The sequence below is a fragment of the Homo sapiens genome, chromosome 14 (assembly GCF_000001405.40).
Source record: "Homo sapiens chromosome 14, GRCh38.p14 Primary Assembly".
Lineage (NCBI taxonomy): Eukaryota > Metazoa > Chordata > Mammalia > Primates > Hominidae > Homo > Homo sapiens.
The window spans coordinates 20791245-20810781 of NC_000014.9; the positions used below are offsets into that span (position 1 = coordinate 20791245).

Here is a 19537-nt window from a genome sequence, read left to right on the forward strand (position 1 = left end):
AGTTGAATTAAAAACTCAGACTTTTCCTTCATTTATAACAAAAAGTGCCAACGAAGAAAAATCTCTCACACAAATCTTGGAAGGGAAACATTCAGCAACATAACTGCCTATGGTCCCACTTACAGTTTTCACCACAAATGCGGAAATGTTCTTTTTTCTTCTTCTTCTCGTGGTCATGTTTTATAGCACTTAACAACAGTTGCAGTTGATAAGTTAAGCCAAGGTCTCAGGACAGGGTCTTGCTCAAGGTGTCGGAATCCCACTAATGCTGTGTTCCAGCTACGATTTTAATCAAAGGTGCGCTCCCTGAGAAAGTCCCGGAGGGTTCACTACCAAGGACAAAGTGAGGAGGGGGAGGGTTTGGGTGGTTTCTTTAAATTATTGTTATTAACTAGAGTCCTTACTTTATTCAGATTTCCTTAGTTTTTACCTAATGTCTTTTTTCTGCTCCAGAATTCTATTCAGGACACCACATTACATTTAATTGTGATGTTTCCTTAGGCTTCTTTGGCTATGACAGTTTCTCAAACTAAACTTTTTTTGATGACCGTGACAACTTTGTGGAGAATTGATGAGGTATTTTGCAAAACGTAACTGATGTATTTTTAACTTGACTTCTCTTTCAAACAGTATCATTAATTATTAGGCCCAGGCATTCAAAATTTCTCCTGTTGGCAAAAGGAAGCAGTTGACTATTTTGTGGTGAAGATATGTAGTCAAAATAAACAAGAAAATCTCCTTGGAGGTGGGGTTTGAGGATTATTTAGTACAGGCTTTTTCTATGGAAGCGATAGTGCCCCTGAGAGGGCAAAAATTATTTTTTGGCCAGGCACAGTGACTCGTGCCTGTAATCACAACACTTTGGGAGGCCGAGGCGGGCAGATCATCTGAGGTCATGAGTTCAAGACCAGCCTGGCAAACATTGTGAAACCCCGTCTCTACTAAAAATACAAAAATGAGCCAAGTATGCTGGCGGGCACCTGTAATCCCAGCTACTCAGAAGGCTGAGATAGGAGAATTGCCTGAATCCAGGAGACGGAGGTTGCAGTGAGCGGAGATCGCATCACTGCCCTCCAAGCTGGGCAACAGAGTGAGATCTGTCTTAAAAAAAAAAATTATTTCTTGAGGGGTAAAAAAATCATAGATATTACAATGGTTTGTCGTCCTTCAAAATCAACCCTACTCAACAAAACTCATTTCATAGTATTTAATTTCATAGGACGGGTGGAGTGGTTAGGAAGAAAAATATCTAAAAGGTCTCCTCCTATGTATTTGTCCACTCCCCAGTTCATGTTGAAAGGTAATTGCCAGTGTAAAAGTATTAAGAGGTGGGATCTTTAAGAGGTGATTAGGCCATGAGGGCTCAGCCCTGAATAGATTAATGCTATTATTGCAGGAGTGGGTTCTTTACAAAAGGACAAGTTCAGCCCCCTTTTATCTCTCTCTTGCTCTCCCTTTGCCCTTCCACCATGCGATGATGCAGCAAGAAGGCCCGTGCTAGATGCTGGCACTTTGATGTTGGACTTCCCAGCATCCAGAACTGTGAGTCAATAAAGTTCTGTTTATTATTAATTACTCAGTTTGTGGCTTCCTGTTTTTGTTTTGTTTTGTTTTGTTTTGTTTTGTTTTGTTTTGTTTTGAGACAGAGTTTCACTCTTGTTACCCAGGCTGGAGTGCAATGGCACGATCTCAGCTCACCGCAACCTCCACTTCCTGGGTTCAAGCGATTCTCCTGTCTCAGCCTCCCCAGTAGCTGGGATCACAGGCATGCACCACCTCGCCCGGCTAATTTTGTTTTTTAGTAGAGACAGGGTTTCTCCATGTCGGTCAGGCTGGTCTCAAACTCCCAACCTCAGGTGATCCGCCCGCCTCGGCCTCCCAAAGTGCTGGGATTACAGGCGTGAGCCACTGCACCTGGCCAGCATCCTGTTATAGTAGCATGAACTAGACTAAGACAGCTCCTTAGGGGTCTGATAGGAAAACAAAGATTGAGTATAATGTTAACTGTAGGGTTTCTGTAGATGATGTCTTATTCAGTTCAGGCTGCTGTAACAAAAATACCATAGACTGGGTGGTTTAGACAACAAACATTTATTTCTCAAAGTCCTGAAGGCTATGAAGTTCAAGATCAAGACATCAGCCAGTTTGGCTCCTGGTGAAGACCCACTCCCTGGTTTGCAGTGGGACACCTTGCTCTCTCCTCACATTTCAGAGGGATAATGGTCTTCTCCCTCATGTCTCTTTTTATCAGGGCACTAATCTCATGAGGAGAGCTCTATTCTTATGACCTAATTACTGCCCAAAGGCCCCATCTCCAAGTATTAACACACTGGGGGTCAGAGTTTACATATGTAAACTTTGGAATGATATAAACATTTAGCCCATAGCAAATACCCTAAAGGTTGAGAATTTCCCTTCCATTATTAGTGTGCTGACAGCTTTTATCAGAAATGAATGTGGGGTTTTGTCAAATGCTCTTTATGTGTCTGCTGAGAACATCAAATGGTTTTTTTTTAAGTTTGTTAGTATGATGAATTATATTGATTGACATGAAAAATTACATCAACATTTGTTCCTGGAATAAACCCCACTTGGTAGTGATATATTATTCTTTTTATACATTGTTAGGTTCAAACTGCTAAAATTTTGTTTAGAGTTACATTTATGAGAACTATTGGTCTGTAGTTTTCTTCTAAATGTCTCTGGATAATTTGTCTTGAATGACATCGGAGAATTAGTTGGAAAACCTTTTCTTCTGGAGTAGTTTGTATAGAATTAACATGGCTTTCTTAAATGTTTAATAAACTTCACCAGTCAAGCATAAAGTTTTCTTTGTGGAAAGGTTTTTAACTGCAAATTTAATTGCTTAAATAGATCTATGGCTATTCAGGTTACCTATTTTTTAAGTGAGCTTTGGAAATTTGTGTCTCTTAATTACTTTTCCATTTTATTGAAGTTTTTAAATTTATTGACATAAAGTTGTTCATCATATTCTCCTATTATCTTTTTGCTATCTGTGTAATCTCTGAGGAAGTCATCTCTCATTTCTGATATTGGTTGTTTGTGACATCTTTTCTCCTCCTCAGCTTAATGAGAGGTTTAGCAATGTTGTTGATCTTCTCAACGAAACAGGATTTGGTTTTATTAAATTCCTCTCTCATTTTTCTGTTTTTTATTTCATTGATTTCTGCCCTGACCTTTATTGATTTCTTTCTGCTTCCTTTGGGTTAAATTTTATCTTTTTCTATTTTCTTAAGGAGGATCCTAAGATCATAATTTGAGATTCTTCCACTTTTCTAATATAGGTATTTAGCGATAAAACCTTTTAACCTAAGTAACAAACAGAGAGAGGGTCTTTAAAAGAAAAAGGTATTTATTTGGGAATAAAGTATTGCAATGGGAATACACGTGCCATAGTAAACTATGTGCATATTCAGGGAGGTAAAGGGAGACAAAGGTTTTCAAAAGAAAAACGAAGAGGATTACAAAATTGTTTTGAAATGATTATCCTTGGCTACAAAGATCACTAACAAGGATGACACCAATTTGAGGTTGGATAGGCAGTTGTTGAGTAAAAATCCTTGCAGAAATATTTTTAGATGATGTTGCAATGGCCTTTATGCAAGATGGTGGTTTTTGAGGTCTTTTGTGATAGTTATCAGGCATACAAGCATAAGAATTCTCCCTTCTTAGCTTTCCCCAGCTCTATTGTCAGGATTTTTGTTGTTGTTGTTGTTTGTTTGTTTTTCTGAGATAGAGTCTCACTCTGTCACCCGGGCTGGAGTGCAGCTGTGCAATCTTGACTCACTGCAATCTCTGCCTCCTGGGTTTAAGTGATTCTTGTGCCTCAGCTTCCCAAGTGGCTGGGATTACAGCTGTGCCACCAAACCCAGCTAATTTTTTTTTTTTTTTTTTTTTTTTTTAGTAGAGACGGGGTTTCACCATTTTGTCTAGGCTGGTGTGGAACTCCTGGCCTCAAGTGATCCGCCCACCTTGGCCACCCAAAGTGTTTAGATTACAGGCGTGAGCCACTGCACCCAGGCTTGTCAGGGTTTCTTTAACATTAGTGACTCCGTTTTGATTCTGACAACTTTCACAAAACTTTCTCTTAATTGTACTTTCTTATCATCACCCAATTTTTTATATATTGTATATATTTTAATTTTTTTCTTTTGATTTCTTCTTTGACCCAAATGTTACTTAGAAAATGTTATGTTAGGCTGGGCGCAGTACTTCGCACCTATAATCCCAGCATTTTGGGAGGCTAAGGCGGGTGGATCACCTGAGGTCAGGAGTTTGAGACCAGCCTGGCCAACTTGGTGAAACTCCATCTCTACTAAAACCACAAAAATTAGCTGGGCATAGTGGTGTGTGCCTGTAGTCCCAGCTACTCAGGAGGCTGAGGCAGGAGAATCTCTTGAATCCAGGAGGTGGAGGTTACAGTGAGCCAACATCATGCCACTGCACCCCAGCCTGAGAGACAGAGCAACTCAAAAAAAAAAAAGAAAATGTTATGTTACATTTCATGTGTATATATACGCACGTGTATATATACTCACGTGTGTATATATATACACGTGTGTATATATACACACACATATATAATATAATATATATAATATAATATATATAATTTATATATGTGTGTGTATATATATACACACACATATACACACATACACACATACATACATATATGTGTATATATATAATATATATATACATATATATATAGTGGCAATGGCGCAATCTCAGCTCACTGCAACCTCTGCCTCCTGGGTTCAAGCAATTCTCCTGCCTCAGCCTCCCAAGTAACTGAGATTACAGGCATGTGCCACCACGCCCAGCTAATTTTTGTATTTTTAATAAAGACGGGGTTTTGCCATGTTGGTCAGGCTGGTCTCAAGCTCCTGACCTCAGGTGATCCACCTGCCTCGGCCTCCCAAAGTGCTGGGATTACAGGTGTGAGCCACCATACCCAGCCTGTATCTTAGTTTTAACAAAAAAGTTTAAAAATTTTTTTAAATAGAAAAAAAAAACAGATAAGCCTGAGCAACATGGTGAGACCCTGTCTCTACAAAATATACAAAACTTAGCTGGCATGGTGACACATGCCTGTAGTTCCAGCTACTCAGGAGGCTGAGGTGGGGAGGCAGAGGTTGCCGTGAGCCAAGATTGTGCCACTGCTCTCCAGCCTGGGCAAGAGAGCGAGATCCTGTCTCAAAAAAAAAAAAAAGAAGAAGAAGAAAAAAGCTATAGAATAAGGATACAAAGAAAACATTTTTGTACAGCTGTATAATGTGTTTTAAGCTACGTGTTATTATAAAAGAGTCAAAATTTTTTTTATTTAAAAATGTATAAAGTTTAAAAGTTAAAGTAAGCTAAGGTTAATTTATTATTGAAGAAAGAAAATTTTTTCATAAGTTCAGTGTGCCCTAATGATACAGTGTTTATAAAGTCTACAGTAGTGCACAGCAATGTCCTAGGCCTGCACAATCACTCACCACTCACCCACTGACTCACCCAGAGCAACTTTTAATTTTTTTTTTTTTTTTTGAGACCGAATCTTGCTCTGTCACCCAGGCTGGAGTGCAGTGGCACGATCTCGGCTCACTGCAACCTCTGCCTCCCAGGTTCAAGTGATTCTCCTGCCCCAGCCTCCTGAGTAGCTGGGATTACAGGCACATGCCACCATGCCTGGCTAATTTTTGTATTTTTAGTAGAGACGGGGTTTTGCCATGTTGTCCAGGCTGGTTTCGAACTCCTGACCTCATGATCCACCCGCCTCGGCCTCCCAAAGTGCTGGGATTACAGGCGTGAGCCACTGCACCTGGCCGTAGCTTCTAATTCTATAAGCTCCACACATAAGTGTCTTACAGAGGTGTACCATTTCTTACCTTTTATACCATATTTTTACTGTAACTTATCTATGTTTATGTACACAAATATTTACCATTGTGTTACAATTGCCTATAGTATTCAGTACAGTAAACTGCTGAACAGGTTTGTAACCTAGGAGCAATAGGTTATACCATATAGCCTAGATGTAGAGCAAGCTATACTGCCTAGTTTTAGGTAATATAGTCTGTAAGGTTCCCAACAATGATGAAGTCACTCAATGACACATTGTATCCCCATCATTCAGCAACACATGACTGTACTTGGTGTATACACTGGTTTTATACTCACTCTTTTGAGAGTCGGTTCTTGAAATCAAGTTTAGGCCTTTCTACTGTCTCTGCCTGATCTTCTGTGCTTTCTAGATCTCTGGTTATCCCCTCTCTTGGGATGATAGAATTCATACTCCTGTGAGTTCCAGTACTAATGTTCCTGGCCCCTCTTTCATCTGAGGCCCTCAAACAAACAAAAATCATATGTTGGCACCTTGAATTATAAATACAGAAAACTGTAGTGAGACATTGTCAATTCTGTCCCCAGTCTTGATTGGTTGCATGCAAGTGATAGAATAGGATGTATGATTCTTGATTCTAAGAGTAATAGCTTTTATTATGGACAGACATTGTCCTAAATATTTTTTATATGTGACCTCAACTAATCCTCAACAAATCTCTGAAGTTGATACCATGTTTATCATGATATTTTACATAGGGAACCTGATGTTAAAAAAGTTACGTTCCCTGCCTGCGGCCACACTACTCCCAAAAGGCACAGTGGAGTGTGAAACAGGTCTGTTTCACTCCAGAGCCAAGGCTCTGAAACACCATACCCCATGCCTCGGTGATAGTGGCTAACTTTCTGAGTGTCCACAGAACGCTGAACACTACGCTTTCTCTGAATGTCATCTTTACCACAGTACTTCTAATTAAGTGTTATGAATATTTCCATTTTACAGAAGTCCCACAGGCACTTGGAGTTGTTATCCTGTCTCAGGTTTTTAAAATCCAGGCTAGACCCATAAAAAATAAGCCAATCTTTGTAACTACTGCACTCCTTCCAACCTCCATTCATTCACTCCTTCTTTCACAAATGCTAGAAAAATGTTCCTTTGACTTAAGAATGTGTATGTCCAGACATTCCCTGGATTTTAAAAGGGCAGATTTTTTTTTTGGTAGAATAGTATATCCGTCTCTCTATGTTCATTAATAGTGCATTGGGAATTTCTGAATTGAACCATATTCCAAGAGTAACTGAGAACATGAACACTCATGAACCGAGAACATGAACTGAGAACATGAAAGCTCAGCTGATGGCAGGGGAGAAGTTGCAGAGGAAGCGTGAGGGCTGTTGCACACTAACTAGCTGGAGGTACACAACTGACCAAGCATGCACGAAGGCTGCCTCGCTTCACATCTTGCCAAGGGCTTTCATGCCCCTACTTTTTCTTTTCCCCTTACAGCAGCCTCAGAAGGGACGCAGGGCCAGTTCCCTAAGACCTGTTAACGGTTTCTAAAGTCCCTCCACTCCATCCAGCTGTCCCAGGAAGAAGTAGATGTTCATTTGTCCCCACAGACACTTCTATTCACCCCACAGCCACCCCATCCCCACCACCGTGGCATCTAATTTAGACCAGCCCGCCATAGGGATGTGTCAGGGCAGCTACGGATGCAATCCAAGAGAAGTGGAAGAATTGGTTAAAGGGTGTATTCATTTCCTAGGGCTGCCATAACAAAATGGGCGGCTCAAACGATAGAAATGCATTTATTTATTTATTTATTTTTTAAAATTTTGAGACAGGGTCTCATTGTTGCCCAGGCTGGAGCGCAGCCTCGACCCCCAAGGCTCAAGTGATCCTCCATCTCAGCCTCCCGAGTAGCTGGGACTATAGGTGTTTGCAACCTTGCCTGGCTAATTTTTTAATATTTTTTTGTAGAGACGGGGGTCTCACTATGTTGCCCAGGCTGCTCTTGAACTCCTGAGCTCAAGCAATCCTCCTGCCTCAGCCTCCCAAAGTGCTGGGGTTACAGGCGTGAGGCAGCATGCCCAGCCAGAAATTCATTTTCTCACTGGAGGCCAGAAGTTCAAGAACACGGTATGGCAGGTTTGGTTTCTCCTGCTTCCTCCTTCCTTGTTCTGCAGTGAGCAGGTCTATGCCAATGTACCCCCAAGGGCTGAGGGAGATGAGAGGCCAAAGAAAGGGCTTGACTGAAGTAGGAAACTAAGAAAATAACAAATAATAGCATACGTAATAATAATAAGAGAAATAACAATAGCTCATAGAATGAATTGCTGTATTAACCAAGGCTGAAAAGAATTTAAGTAGCCCCCCTGAAGTTAAAGTTAGAAGAGAATATTAACTGTCTGTCCCAAGAAACGTTAACCATATCTATCCTCCACATATTTTGTAGGCTCTGTAAACTCCTGTTTCTTTCTTCCCTGCACAGCTGCAAGGTCACAAGACAGATAAGCATAAGCTGCAAACCAAGTTCTCACAGAGATGTAAGACATGTTCCAAAAGTGTCACAGCGGCCTTTTGTTCTCACTTCTGTAAGCCTGCTTCACTTAGTTCCTGCCTCAAAATGCTTAAAAGGGACTCATTTTCTTTGTTCTTGGGCTCAGCCTTTTAGGACACAAGTCCGCTGGGCCAGTGTACACCTTAAAATAAACACCCTCCTGCACGCCATCTGGTCTCTCTGGTTCCTTAAATCCCACTTCATGACAAGTTCAGTTTCTCAGAAAGAAACATTTAATAGGGACTTACAAATAGAAGCCATGTCTCAGGCAGCCACAAGACAGTGGATCTCCGCACAGGCCCTGCAGAAAGTATTCTTTATATGGCAAGCTTCCCCACCCCCCACCCTGTGAGATGGAATCTTGCTCTGTCACTCAGGCTGGAATGCAGTGGCGCGATGTCGGCTCACTGCAACCTCTGCCTCCCAGGTTAAGTGTTGACAGATGCCAAAGGTAGTCTTTCAGTGGCTGTCAGGAAGGGTTGCCAAGAGTGGAGTGGACTCACAGGCTAAGAACACTGGGAGCCTGTGAGAGCCCACCAGCAAGCTCTGGGAGAGAGCTACCGCTCCACAGCACTTACTGAGGAGGGGAGCTTTCTTCCTGAGTTAGAGCAATGGCTTCCTGAGTTAGAACAATGGCTTGGAAGTCAGGAAACCTAGGGTGTAGTCCCGGCTGTGCCACTAACTAGCAACAAGCCATGTGCAAGTCACCGGAAAGGCAGGGGTCACATTTGGTCAGGGATGGCAAATGTGTGGCACACACACCCTTCCCCCTCTCGTGCCTTCGATAGAGGCTGTTGTTCAACCACACCACTGTCCAGAATTTTTTGCTACAGCATTTTGGGTAGGCACTTCCTTTTTTTTTTTTTTGAAACAGAGTTTCACTCTTATTGCCCAGGCTGGAGTGAAGTGGCACCATCTCAGCTCACTGCAACCTCCGCCTCCCAGGTTCAAGTGATTCTCCTGCCTCAGCCTCCCTAGTAGCTGGATTACAGGCACCTGCCACCACGCCCCACTACTTTTTGTATTTTTAGTAGAGAGGGGGTTTCACCATACTGGTCAGGCTGGTCTTGAACTCCTGACCTCAGGTGATCCACCTGCCTCAACCTCCCAAAGTGCTGGAATTATAGGTGTGAGCCACCACGCCCGACCGGCACTTCCAATTAGAGTTGGTACACAAACTGAAATCTACTTGCTATCCCTCAATTCCGTGCTCTCCAAAGTCACTTCTGGCTCTAAAATGTAAGGTTCTGGCTTTCCAACTAAGAGGTGCCCATTTTTCTGATTTAGTAATAGCTCACTCAAAAAAAAAAAAGGAAAATGGAAATTTAGGATCATAATTTCATTGAGTCCTCTTCCCCACCCTGAGGCTAAGCAGGATCTTCCTGAGGTCACACTTGCCTTCCTTCTGTGCCAGAGAATGATTGTATTTGAGCTTCACCCCTCTGTCAGTTCACCCTGCATGGCAGTGTCCCAGGCTGTAGCTCCCTTTTGTCTAAAACAGCCCACACTTAACAGTTTTATGTTTGGCATCAGGGAATCTACAAGGAAAGGAATTTTCTCAAGCCACTAAAATCCAAGTCAGAAGGGAAGGCATTTAATTACTCCATTCACCGTTCTCCAAAGTGAATCAGATTTACAGTTCTTACCCCTTGCTGGAAGGCAATGCCAGAAACAGTACCTAGACAGAACCGCTTCAGAAATCAGGTGTTTGCAACTGCGTTTTATTGAAAGAAAGAGTGGAGGGGTTAACATGGGGCCCACCTCACAACCCACTCTTCACCCCCAAAATCACGCAGGGATGGGACTCAGGAAAGGGAAGCATGTGTGTGTTGAATAGGAGCCCTAACTGTAGTTACTTCTTTCACAGCAGGGAAGGAAGAGGGAAGAGGCAGCTGTGGAGAGGATGAGGTTGAGGGAGGTGGGGTATCTCGCTGCTCTGACCTTAGGTAGAGTCCTCCACAGAAGCATCAAAGTGGACTGGCACATATGGGCTCCCTTCACAGGCCACAATGATGTGTCTCTCCTTCGGGCTGGTCCGGTATGCACAGTTGGGGTACCTGGAGCCGTTTGTCAGGCGGCAGTCTGTGATGTGCATGCTGGAGTTGCTCTTGTAGCAGTTGCCCTGCCCGTTCTTGCAGGTGACCTTTTCCTGGAAACAGACATTCTGGACATCTACCAGGGGCTCGTGCACAAAGGTGTTCACTGGTTTGCACCGCCCCTGTGTCATATTCCGGCGCCTCATCATTTGGTTACAGTAGGTGGAGCTGCTGCTGGGGGAACTGTCTGAGTCCATATGCTGCCGCTGGAATTTCTTGGCCCGGGATTCCTTGCCCAGGGAAGGCTGGACCCAGCCCAGCACCAGCAGTATCAGGACAAGCAGAAGGAGCCGGACAAGAGACTTCTCCAGAGCCATGGTGGCCTCACTTTCCCAGAAAAGCCTAATTGAGAAAAGGAGAGAGAAGGAAAAGAGCCCTCTTAGAAAAAGAACTCCAGCTCCCACCTATGGCTTGCCTGGTTTACACTTTCTGTTTCAGGTCAGCCAGAAAGACGTCCATCCTACTTCCTGAGGTTTTTCGTGTAATGAGACACTCACGTGTACCCTTTTCCACGAGCGTTTTATTCCCACTCTCCAAAGCGAGGTCTTCCTCCCCTCTAGGTGGTGACCTACAAAGTGACCTAAAATCCTGTCAGTTCCTATCTTTGAATACTGGAGTTTCTTTGATCCAAAATACATTTGTACCCAGTGCTCAAATGGCTCATCGAAACATCAGTTTGAATAAATCATGAACCAAATTGTATCCCCGACATCCAGGGCCATGGGTGACAGAGCCTTGTTGTCTTGGAGCATAAGGGAACTCAGGCCAGTGCCTGACACTGGCATCATAAAAGATTCCATTGTATTCCAGAGAGAAACGCTGGCCTCCCCCAATTTGGAGGCTCCTTCTTCTCCAGTCCCATGGATGCTCTGCAGCCTGCACGTTCCACCCTGACCCCTCTGCCCCCAGCTGATGTTTGCCTGGGCCACATTTTTTCAGCGCTAGCATCACCCAATCTTTCTCAGTGCTGTGGACTGGCCCTAGCTCCCTCTTCTGCAACCCTGAAGCAGAAGCGGCACCTGAGAACACCTCTTGGGCTGCTTACCTGGATCTGCAGCTTGGTGTCTGAGAGAGATGGAAGGCCAGTTTCTGCAATCACTCAGCTCCCGGGGTGTGGACCTTATACAGATTACAAAGGGGTTTGGCTTCCAAGAGGAAAAGGGTGGGAGGAGCATCTGGAGCTCAGTTCAAATAAAATCAAGGACGTGAGGAAGGAGTGGTGAATCACCCAGGCCGCCGTCTTTCTAGGGCTGCTGAAGAAAGAGCAAATCTTTGCCTACGTTAGTCTTTCTTCCTATGTGAACCACATCTGTCTGCTGATGCACAAGGAGCAGCAGAGAAAGCCACTACAGCACTGGTGCCCAAACCTGGCACACTAGGAACAAAGTCCTTGTTACTTCTTCGTGGGCGTTTTCACCAAGTAGACTTGGAGGTTAACAAAGGACGCAAAGGAGAGGTTCTAATGGGAGATAGGGAATTCTGGCCAAAGCTATTCCAGGGCTCCTAGGGAGCAAAACCCAAGTCTCTTTCTAGGAGGGCATTCTCCCAACGCTACCTCTCCCGGGGATGGGAGGCGGGGTCGGGGGGAATGGAGGCTGTCCTGCTGCCCCCAGCTGGAAGGCTTCCCAGATCTGGAGAAGAAAGGGGGAGTAACTGAATAGGGAGGAGGAGGAGGCCTCTAGGGTGCGCTCACCCAGTTCTGGCCACTTCCCACCCACCCTCCACCCCTGCTCTGGGGGCATCGAGAGGATGGGGCTGTTCTTATCTACAGTAACCACTGACCCTGTAGGTCGGAATTGAGTAGAGGAACTAAAGATAAACTTAAATCCCAAATCTCAAATTCTTTTTGGGGAAAAAATACAAAGAATATCATATTTATTAGCAGCAGAATGCCCTCCTAGAAAGAGACCTGTTTTTTTGCTGAGTAACAATTTGGATACCTCTAAGAATTATCAAAATATCCCTTCGTGCTGTGTATTCAGATTGTTTCAGCCTTTCTGTGTAAAAAGTGGCCATAGTGAAATTATCTGACCTACCTTGTGTGATTGTAGGTCGTAAGATCCTCATTCCAGAGAGGGTCCTGCCCCCCATACCCAGAAAAAAAGGACGAATGCTCAGAGAGGCCAAGAAGAATCTAGACAGGGAGGCCTTGCTGGGTTTCCCCACTCAGTCTATTTTCATTAGATCGCCCTGTTGTCCAGTCATATTTCTACACAGCTGTTCATACTTTGTTGATATCCAAGTGTAAGAATGCCCACTTTCCCCTGTTATCTTTGGGTCTTCTGAAGGCTCCCGTGTCGTGTAAAACTACGATCAAATCAATTTGTATGCGTTTTTTCCTATCAATCTGTCTTTTGTCAGTTGATTTTCAGCAAACCTTTGGAGGGTGAAAGGGGAATTTTTCCTTGGCCCCTACAGTTTCCTTACTCCCCCAGCCCCCACCTGTATTTTATTTTTCTGAGTCTTTAATAATACTTTTATTCTCTTGAATAGTCAAGTTAGAATGTGTTCATTCATTCATTAGACTGTGGGATACAGACATAAATAAGGCACAGGACTCACCTGAAGGGCGCCTGGTGGGATGGTTTGGTTAGTCAGGTGGACCCCACTAAGGCACTGGGCGTGGCTGCACAAAAGTGGCCTCCACCCAGCAAGATGATTTCAGAACCACAGTTCAGATGTGAACAGATCTTCTGTAACTATAATAAGGCTCTTCAACAGCCCCTGGCCCTAGGAATCCTGAAACTACAGGAAGCCATTTTGTCTATTTATGCATAGCAATCTAGACAAGCCCTTGGAGCTTTAATTGCACTTCAATGGGGAACCATCAGAAGCCCTTACTGCAGCCTTATCCTTGACCCAGTTGCAGAGGCATAGCCCCGCTTGTCTTAGGGCAGTAGATGCCATGGCAACATTTGTTGTTGCTTCTGCTGAACTTGTTCTAGACTCCCTGCTTGACCTCCTGGTTTCTCACGCAGCACAGGCATTACACCTGACTGAGAACTCACTGCACACTTCAGGCAGCCGATTAACCTCTTATAAGATTCTATCCCTCTCTCCCTCTCATAAATTACTACTCATCTCTGCAACACACTGAATTCTGCCACCCTCTGTCCCTACCAGAAGGGGAGCCTCTTGATTGTCTTACCTCAGTAGGAAACATTCTGCATGTCAGTCAGATTTATTAGCAACTCCTATTGAGAACCCGGACCTAATATGATTTATTGATGGAACATACCCCAGAATTGAAACTTGAAGTTAGTACACTGAGGAAAGAAAAATCAATTCTTCCTTTACCCTCCTAGAGGGCTGGGGGCCCTGTAAATTAAAATGACAAAAGACAGATTTAACAGGAGAAAAGGCATAAAAATTTAATTTAATATTAATATTCTACATGAATATGGAAGTCTTCATAAAAAAAGAAGTGAAGACTCAAAGAAGCAATTAAACCTGAGAGTTTATAGGCCATTTTGACAAAGAAAATTGTGCAGAAGTGACAAGACAGTGTTCCATGAAAGGGCCACATATGTGAAGTGGCCCCAAATGCTGAAGGAGCCTAGAAACTAAAGAAAGGCAGACAAATTCAGTTTGTCAGTAAAGCGTGTTTTATTCTATTGGGGAACTTATAGCCAGAAGTGTCGTCTTGGGCAGCAGCAAGACATGTAAATCTCAGCACTGTTATTCCCCAGACCCAGAGCTTATATACCATAGGGAAAAGGGGTACGTGCTATATAGAGACAATGAAAGGCAACTCTTCAGAACAGGCAAGAATGCTGTGTTTGTCATAGCCCATAATTTGCATGATAACGTTAAGGTTGTTTTGATCTAAAGGCAGGATTTATAGTGAATACATGTTTCTACACTAGAGACAGTAAATAAAGTAGAAATCAGGAGGCATTCCCGGGACATGGTTAATCAGACGTCAACATGGTAGATTAGCATTCAAGATGGAGTCACTTTTGTCTCTGCACATAGGAAAGGGATTTTGAGCTTCTGGGGAGGTTGCGACAAGCGGACTAGGAAATGTATAGTATATAAGGGTTGTTTAGTAAAGTTTGTTAAGCAAATTCAAGTTGGTTGTCTTCTCCATTGATAAGTCCTCCGTGATTAAGTCCTCCTCTTCCTGGCACAGGAAAGGGAGACATCCATACAAATGGGAATATAAATGGAAATTTCTCTTACAAAAGGGAAACTTGGCTAGGCATAGTGGCTCACTCCTGTAATCCCAGCCCTGTGGGAGGCCAAGGCAGGCAGATTGCTTGAGTTTAGGAGTTTGAGACCAGCCTGGGCAAGGTGGCGAAACCCTTTTTCTACAAAATATACAAAACTAGCCATGCATGGTGGCATGCTCCTGTAGTCTCAGCTACTCAGGGGGATGAGGTGGAAGAACACTGGAGATGGAGGCTGCAGTGAGTCGTGATTGTACCACTGTACTCCAGCCTGGGTGACAGAGAGAGACACTGTTTAAAAAAAAAAAAAGGACATTTATAGTTCTTTCACAGCAGGGAAGGAAGAGGGGAGAGGCAGCTGTGGAAATGATGAGCCCTGTTTTTTGAGTTTTTCCTGCATTTACTGTTTTTCAAAATAATCAACTCAAAATTATTGAGCTGGCATATTCTGGTTCCCTACATTATTAATAGGCTATGCTACCCCTATTTTAAACTCTTCTTAAGAAAAAGTCTACTACCTGCAGTAAAATCAGCCCAGATAGCAAAATGTATTGCATTTACTAGAATTTGTCACCTAAACAAAGACCAGAGAGCAAACATATATACAGACTGCAGGTATGCTTTTGAAATAGCATATGATTTTGAGATGCTTTGAAAATAGGCATTAGAAGACCAGGCATGGTGGCTCGTACCTGTAATCCCAGCACTTTGGGAGGCTGAGGCGGGTGGATCACCTGAGGTTGGGAGTTCGAGACCAACCTGACCAGCATGGAGAAACCCTGTCTCTATTAAACATACAAAATTAGCCGGGCATGGTGGCACATGCCTGTAATCCCAGCCACTCAGGAAGGCTGAGGCAGGAGAATCGCTTGAACCCAGGAGGCAGAGGTTGCGGTGAGCCGAGATCGTGCCATTGTACTCCAGCCTGGGCAACAAGAGCAAAAACTCCGTCTCAAAAAGAAAAGAAAAGAAAAGAAAATAGGCATTAGAAATGGACAGCAAGTTAAGGAACTTTCAGATGCACCCCCACTTCCTAGAGAAGTGGCTATTATATAGGTAGAGGTCCATATAAAAAGAGACAATATGGAAACTAAAGGAAATTCTCTAGCAGATCATTATGCCAAAGAAGCTACTTTAACCAAGCTTATGACTCTATCTATACCTTTAAAGGATAAATCTCTGGGGGATTCAAAGAGGCCATTATAAAATATTGACATTTAGCCCCTGATTTTGAAAAAGAATGGAAAACATCTAGTTGTACTCTTCACTCAGATAATTCCTGGTGCTGCTTGGTGACACCAGATGATCTCAAGTAGATATTTCTAAAGGAGTTCAAAACATACCACCCCAAAATATGCCTTTCTGGCATATGGATTATTTTGAATTAAAAGCTCTTGAAAAACAGCAGATGCAAGAAGGGCACTCTGATCTTTCTAAAAGCAGGAGACAATGCTCCCACGTAGCAGGGACCCTCCGTGGAAGAAGGAAGACATTCTTATTACCAGAGATGGGGGCAGCTGAGGTTGAGAGAAAACTACAAATAAACCTTGTTAAACTAGCCCTTATCTCCCTAGCCACTTCTCCACGATTAACAGCCCTAGCCCATATCCCTTTGACTTGTTTTCACAATTTACTGTTCTTTGTCTAACTTAGTATATAAGCATCCACTCAGACTGGTTCATTTCCAGAAGGCTTCCATGCCATGTAAAACTTACATTAAATAAATGTGTATGCTTTTCACTTTTTAATCTGCCTTCTGTTACAGAGCCCCGCCTTAGAACTTAAGACAAATAAGAAAGATATTTCCTCCCCTACATTATCTGGATTTCTCCATGAAACACCCATTATGGCATAGACAAATTGGTTACTATCTTAAGTAAACATTGGTAGGAAAACTTTGAAAAGGCAACTGAGCTTACTTTTGGGTCATGTGTCACCTGTCAAAAATATAACTCTGGAAAAACTGTAAAGTTGGGACATGGCCAGAAACCAAAGCCTCTTTGGACACCTTCGGACTGTTACATGGAATAAAACCTTAGACAAGTGTACATTTTAGCTGAGTTTATTTGAGCAAAGAAAAGCAGAACAAAACAAAGCAAACAAAGCAAAAACAAAACAAAAAAAAGCAGTTCAAAAATCAGGCACGATTTGGAACTAGAGGAAATTCAGAGAACTCCAACCAATGACATAATCTGATAGCATTTATAGGAGACAAAAGAAGCATGGTACAGAGGCAGCTTAATTGGTTAATTGGTTACAGAGTCTCCTGCAATTAGTTAAAGCTCAGCTGCAACATATTGTAAGCCTGTAAACAACTAAGCCTAACAGATCAAACAACACACCGTATCTGTTTGATCTGTTAGGCTTAGTGCAGGAGCCCAGTCCAAATCAATGGCCTTGCTTAAATTTTATTTCACAAGACACTTCACCGGCTTTCACTCTCCCTGGGATTTGAATATGTTTTAGATATTGTATGTCTGTTTTCAGGATGAGTTGAAGAATTTCTTTGCCAAAATGCTACAGCCCTTACAGCCGTGAACAAGCTGCTTGATTTTATGTTTTCAATCTGGGGCATCCCACCTTTTATATCAAGTGACTGAGGCACACACTTTAAGGCGACCTTTATAAAAGAACTCTTACTCAAAAACTACACCATCCTTACCACCCACAAAAACGACCCATGGCATCCTTACATTAAAATAAGCAACAATTTCAGAAACCCTTGAGCTCCCTTGACCAAGAGTATATCCACTATCCTTTACGGATATACAGGCCACTTTCTTGGAGACACATAGGTTATCCCCCTATGAGTTGATACCGGGAAGGTCCATGCATTTAGAGATTTCACCTCCAATACTAGAGTCTGTCCTACTCCATGCAGACATGACAAGATACTGCAAGGGACTCATGTATTGTACGTGGTCCTATCACCAACAGGTTAAGGTCCCCTTCCTACAAAATCTTCCTAAACAACCTCTCCATGATCCTCAACTAGTGGATTTGTCTACTGGAAGAAAAATCAGAGAATAACTGCTTTTGAACTTCATTCAAAAGGAAGAGATCTTATCAGATACTGTTAACAATAGATACAGCAGTGAAACTCCAAGGAGCCAACCTTTGGGTTCATGTTTCACAACTGAAGAAGAGATTCAAAATTCCACACAGTTGGAAGGCCACTTCGATTTTGTCTGCACCATTGCCAGTGCTTCTTGTGATACTTAGGTCAAGGACACAGGCAAGGTTAAAAAAAAAAAAGACTATATTGCTTCAAAAAAAAACCTATTAATATTTGGATCTCTAAGGTCCTCATGGCTTATGGGATTTGTTTTCTTGGCCTAGGTTAAGCAATTGGAGTTCCTGGTTCTAAAGCATCTCAGAGGGACTATCAATTGTTTCTTATTTTTCTGATAGTGGTCATGATGCTAGTCTGTTCCGTTTTATCCAGAGTTTTAAATGCTTCTAGCAGCCACTCTGTCATCAGATGATTGCCATAATGATACAATAGAAAGATCAAGAAGATCTTACAATCCAGGTCACTATGAAGATGACTGAACAATTTATGATTGGTGAAGATGTGAAATTCTAACTTTCTCTGAGTTGGTCAACTTCTCAGAAGTCAGAGAATGACCAAAAGGAGGGACTGAAAGACTGACCATACAAATGAACAATGACCAGACCATATATAAAGATGGAACTCTGACCTGTAGTCTCCAGCAATAAGTATGAGAAGCCAACCCACTATATACAGCAAACAATCCAGGAAGCCAAACAACTCCTATAGCAATTGGCCCCAAACAGCTAGGACTTGATTACCCCTATTTTATTTCTTAATTTTTTCCTTGCTTGAAAGTCTCTCTTTATGGACTTGATTAATAACTGAAAAGTTCCCTAATATTTATTTCCGCTTCCCCAAATTAGGACCAATCAGAGAAAGCCAATATGCATCCCTAATCCAACACATAGGATGCCCTGCTTCCAGTAGCCCACTTACAGCTTCTGCATGCCGCAGCCTGCAACCAGAGCATCCCTGAAGCCTTTCCTGTTTTCCATTGTGAAGATTCCCACTCTCCTGCCTACTGTGAGTGTCTGCCAAATGCAAGTGATGGTGGTTACCTGCCATCTGTGGCCAACTCTGAATAAACAGCCTTTGCTTATTCTCATTTGGGTGGCTGTGCTCATTTCCACAAGCTCTTTAGAAGAATAAGGAAGTGGGTATGTACAGGGTAAGGACGTTTTTACAAGAAAAGCTCAGATAATCTGAAGGATGTCCTATCATTAGGCTGGCTACAAAAGCTCAGCACAGCCCCCCAAATACACATGTACGAGCACACACACACCCTGCATGCACGTACATACAATATGCACACACACATACAATAGATGATATTCCGGGATTCCTTTTGAACCCCAGAAAGTGAGAAGGCAAAGGAAAATTAGAACAGGAAAAGACGGAACAGTGGGGGCAGACAAAGGGAGCGGAGTGGTGTTTGAAAGTTGAAGGAAGTGAGGGGAAAGAATGCAAGAACCAGCTAAAAAAGATCCGAAGCCCGTGCTGTCCCACGCCTCTCACCCATTGCCTACAACCCAGATGCCCATGAAGATAAAGTAGGATAACAGCCAAGATGACATCCCTCAACTCATTCCCTTTATTTTTTATTTTTTTATTTTTTATTTTTGAGACAGCTGTTGCCCATCTCAGCTCACTGAAACGTCTGCCTCCCGGGTTCAAGCAATTCTCCTGCCTCAGCCTCCTGAGTAGCTGAGATTACAGGCACCTGCCACCATGCCTGGCTAATTTTTGTGGGGTTTTCTTTTTAGTAGAGATGGGGTTTCGCCATGTTGGCCCAGCTCGTCTTGAACT

The 19537-nt window shown here is 42.9% G+C and overlaps 1 protein-coding gene and 2 long non-coding RNA genes across 9 annotated transcripts in view; 1 reads left to right on the forward strand and 2 right to left on the reverse strand.

Moving 5' to 3' along the window:
* The window catches only part of LOC107984671 (uncharacterized), a 74578-nt gene extending 65293 nt beyond the window's left edge, over positions 1-9285 (reverse strand). For all 3 annotated transcript variants that reach the window (XR_001750624.2, XR_001750623.2, XR_001750622.2), the window contains exon 1: positions 8660-9285. This is a non-coding gene — a long non-coding RNA (uncharacterized LOC107984671). The remainder of the gene's footprint in view (positions 1-8659) is intronic.
* On the forward strand, positions 204-18657 carry LOC105370397 (uncharacterized). 2 transcript variants are annotated; one of them, XR_007064063.1, is made up of 4 exons: positions 204-297; positions 454-576; positions 1484-1542; positions 18595-18657. It is a non-coding gene; the product is annotated as an uncharacterized LOC105370397 (long non-coding RNA). The 2 variants fall into 2 exon arrangements; XR_007064062.1 differs by lacking the exon at positions 18595-18657 and adding an exon at positions 8343-8418.
* On the reverse strand, positions 9984-11600 carry RNASE1 (ribonuclease A family member 1, pancreatic). 4 transcript variants are annotated; one of them, NM_198234.3, is made up of 3 exons: positions 11553-11600; positions 11005-11075; positions 9984-10849 (listed from the first exon to the last, which is right to left on the reverse strand). In NM_198234.3, exon 3 carries the CDS (start codon positions 10822-10824, stop codon positions 10354-10356), a length of 471 nt encoding a protein of 156 aa, NP_937877.1. In that variant the 5' UTR covers positions 10825-10849; positions 11005-11075; positions 11553-11600; the 3' UTR covers positions 9984-10353. The 4 variants fall into 4 exon arrangements, with proteins under 4 accessions (NP_937877.1, NP_937878.1, NP_002924.1 ...); NM_198235.3 differs by having other exon boundaries at positions 11005-11087; NM_002933.5 differs by lacking the exon at positions 11005-11075.
* Positions 18658-19537: the final 880 nt, after the last annotated feature.

Coding starts and splice junctions, on each gene's coding strand:
- RNASE1 (NM_002933.5), bottom strand. CDS start 10,824: ATGGCTCTGGAGAAGTCTCTTGTCCGGCTCCTTCTGCTTGTCCTGATA.